Below are 3,492 nucleotides of genomic sequence, written 5' to 3' on the forward strand. Positions count from 1 at the left end.
CCACTGAAAAAAATTACAAATAAGTACTCCACAGGAATATTGGGCTAAATACTTATTTATAAGTATTAAGTATTTGCAAGTAATAAGTATTTCTCAGGAATAATGGGCTAATTCTCAGGAATAATAGGATAATAAGTATTTCTCAGGAATACTGGGCTAAAATGACCACATAGTCTAAAACCAATTGTCGGTGATTTGTTTTTCCTGCCATGCTAAAAAAAGAAAAAAAAAAATCACCTAAAGAATGAAGTCAACACATGGAGAAAATTTGAGCTAAGATATGATAGGAGAGACAAATACAAGATGATTTCATTTGAGCCCCTAGATCCAACTATTACTGAATCCCCAGTCCCTAGACATTCCATGTATAGACAACTATAAATTTTTATTTTATCCAAGCCCTGATGCAACGATGAGTCCTGACTAATCCATGAATTGAGAGAAAGATCAGACTTTGAAATGTCCAGGAGCTATGTCCACAAACAACTGATACATAATTAGTGCAGAATTTGTTGCACAATGTCAAGGTCAAGATGGTTCCTTGAAGGTACTATACTGGGGTTTAAAAGTTTGAACTTTGCAATTACCCAGTGAGAATCGTTGAGTAGTCTGTCAGAAAGAAACATTTTAAGCCAAAGATGGGAAACTTAGCCAAGCGTCAGGGACTCCTAAAAAGGTGAGCAGTATCTTACCACAGTTATTCAGATCCCAAGTTGATATGACAGCCGTATTTTTTGGGTTGATAGAAAGAAACAAAGTATTCTACAAAATGGCAACATTGACAGTGTCCTACTGAGGTCTGGAGCATCATCACAGCCCCTCTCTGTGGAACTCTGCTTCCTTATTTAACGAACATTCATTCGTGCCTTCTGTGTTCAGGCAGTGTGCTTGGCATTGGGAAATGCAACCACGAGCAACCCCAGCACTGTGGCTACTCTAAGAGAACTCTCAATCTAGTGGGAGAGGTAATGTAATAAGCCCTTACAATGTAACTGCGAGAACAGGAAGATCACAGAATGACAAGGGATCACAGAGCAAAGATACTAGTTTTCTAATACTATGAACCAAATTACCACAAGTTTAGTGGCTTAAACCAGCGGTCCTCAACCTTTTGGACACCAGGGACCTGCTTCATGGAGACAATTTTAACACGGACAGGGGAGGGGGGATGGTTTCAGGATGTAACTATTCCACCTCAGATCATCAGGCATTTGATTTTCATAAGGAGCACACAACCTAGAGCCCTGACACGCTCAGTTCACAATAGGATTTGTGCTCCTGTAAGAATCTAATGCAGCCACCGATCTGACAGGAGGTGGAGTTCAGGCAGTAATACTCGCTTGCCTGTCACTCACCTCCTGCTGTGCGGCCCAGTTCCTTACAGGCCACGGGCAGGACCAGTACCGTCTGCAGTCAGGGGTTGGGGACCTCCAGCTTAAACAACAACCAGGCATAATTTCCCCATTCTGTAGGTCAGAAGTCTGGGTATTTCAGCTAGATTATTTGTTCATGGCCTCACAAGGCCAAAATTAAGGTGTTAGCCAGGCAAGGCTCTTACCTGGAGGCTTGCAGAAAGAATTTACTTCAAAGATTATTCAGACCATGGGCAGAATTCAGTTCCATGGGAAGGTAAGACTGAGTTTCCCGTTTTCTTGTGGGGGACTCTTTGCTCCTTCTAGTGACTGCTAGTCTCTCCAGTTCTTTCTCAGATGGCTCTACACATCTTCAAACCAGAAATAGCACTCTGAATCTTTGACTCTCTCTGACTTTCCTTTTGCCTTCCTCTTCTGCCACTAGCCAAAGAAAATTCTACGCTTTTAAGGGCAAGTGTGATTAGTTTAGGTCAACCCAGATAACGTCCTCTTTTTATAACCACCTCACTTGGGATTTTAATCATATCTGCAATATCTCTTCACAGCAGTATCTGTATTAGTATTTGATTGAATAACCAGGAAATGGAACCCTAGCAGCATGTTTTGAATTCTACTAAGCTAGACTGTGGGAATCACAGAAGGCTGCCTGTAGGAAGTGGTCTGTAAGCTAAGTTATAAAGAAGTAGTAGGAGTTAGCCAGGAAATTATAGAGTGAACAAAGATCTTAGCATAGGATCAAGGGAGTTCTAGGCAAATAGTAAGAGGTGAAACCAGCCTGGCTTCTGGGTCAGGTGGGGACTTGGAGAACTTTTGGTCTAGCTAAAGGATTGTAAATGCCCCAATCAGTGCTCTGTGTCTAGCTAAAGGATTGTAAACACACCAATCAGCTGTCTGTAAAAATGCACCAATCAGCACTCTGTAAAGTAGACCAATCAGCACTCTGTAAAATAGACCAGTCACCAGGACGTGGGTGGGGCCAAATAAGGGAATAAAAGCTGGCCACTCTGCACCAGCAGCAGCAACCTGCTGGGGTCCCCTTTCACCGTGCGGTGGCTTTGTTCTTTTGCTATTCGCAATAAATCTTGCTGCTGGTCACTCTTTGGGTCCACACTACCTTTATGAGCTGTAACACTCACCGTGAAGGTCTGCAGCTTCACTCCTGTGAAGCCAGTGAGACCACGAACACACTGGGAGGAATGAACAACTCCGGACGCGCCACCTTTAAGAGCTGTAACACTCACTGCAAAGGTCTGCGGCTTCACTCCTGAAGTCAGCAAGACCACGAACCCACCAGAAGGAAGAAACGCTGGACACACCATCTTTAAGAACTGTGACACTCACTGCGAGGGTCTACGGCTTCATTCTTGAAGTCAGCAAGACCAAGAACCCACCGGAAGGAACCGATTCTGGACACAATAGGACAATGGAAAAAAAATCAGGATAACTGGAGTGAAGCCTAAAAGGCAAAAGAGGATTATTAGATGAGGCTAGAAGAGGAAGTAAAGGCCCCATGATAAAGGGACTGGTAAACCCTGCCCCACTTCCCAAGTCTCACTGAAGTGCATCTGGTTGAACGAACCTATGTTAGCACCGGGTATGTCTGAAATGGAAGCTTTCAGCTTTTTAGTCTCCGCAGGAGAGGAAGGTCTCCTAGAATGAGGCTCTATGCTGTAAATAAAATGCCTCAAACTTCAACACACATTAGGCACTCAATAACATATTCTCCACCCTTTCCCTTCATTTTTTTTGTATTCTCTTTTCTCTTGAGCCCTAATTCACAAATTCATTCTTTCAAAATGCTTGAATCCTAATTCACAAATTGATTCTTTCAAAATACACAAATTCATTCTTTCGAAATTCAAAATACATATTATTTTGAAATAACCCTTTTTCTGCCTGGAGCCACTGTGCACAAAAGGTACCATAATAAATACATTCATGTATCTGAGGAGCTCACAGTCCAGAGTGAGAAACTGATAGGTAATGTCAACAAATAAATCATAGAGCACGTGGGTAATAGATAATAAAGGCCATGAGGTTTTGAATGCCTTCTTTCATAATTTTAAAATCCAAACCTGCCCCTTGGTTCTCGGGCCAGTTATTGAGCCTCCTCATCCCT

The 3,492-nt window shown here is 42.5% G+C and overlaps 1 annotated feature.

Moving 5' to 3' along the window:
* Positions 1,783-2,982: an enhancer, noted in NCBI's record as "MED14-independent group 3 enhancer chr8:132798484-132799683 (GRCh37/hg19 assembly coordinates)". NCBI's record gives its function as "activates an origin of replication core promoter dependent on BRD2, BRD4, P300/CBP and CDK7 cofactors, and independent of MED14, by STARR-seq in HCT116 cells {active_cell/tissue: HCT116}" and the evidence as "EXISTENCE:reporter gene assay evidence [ECO:0000049][PMID:35650434]".

The sequence above is a fragment of the Homo sapiens genome, chromosome 8, assembly GCF_000001405.40.
Source record: "Homo sapiens chromosome 8, GRCh38.p14 Primary Assembly".
NCBI classification, from domain to species: Eukaryota; Metazoa; Chordata; class Mammalia; order Primates; family Hominidae; genus Homo; species Homo sapiens.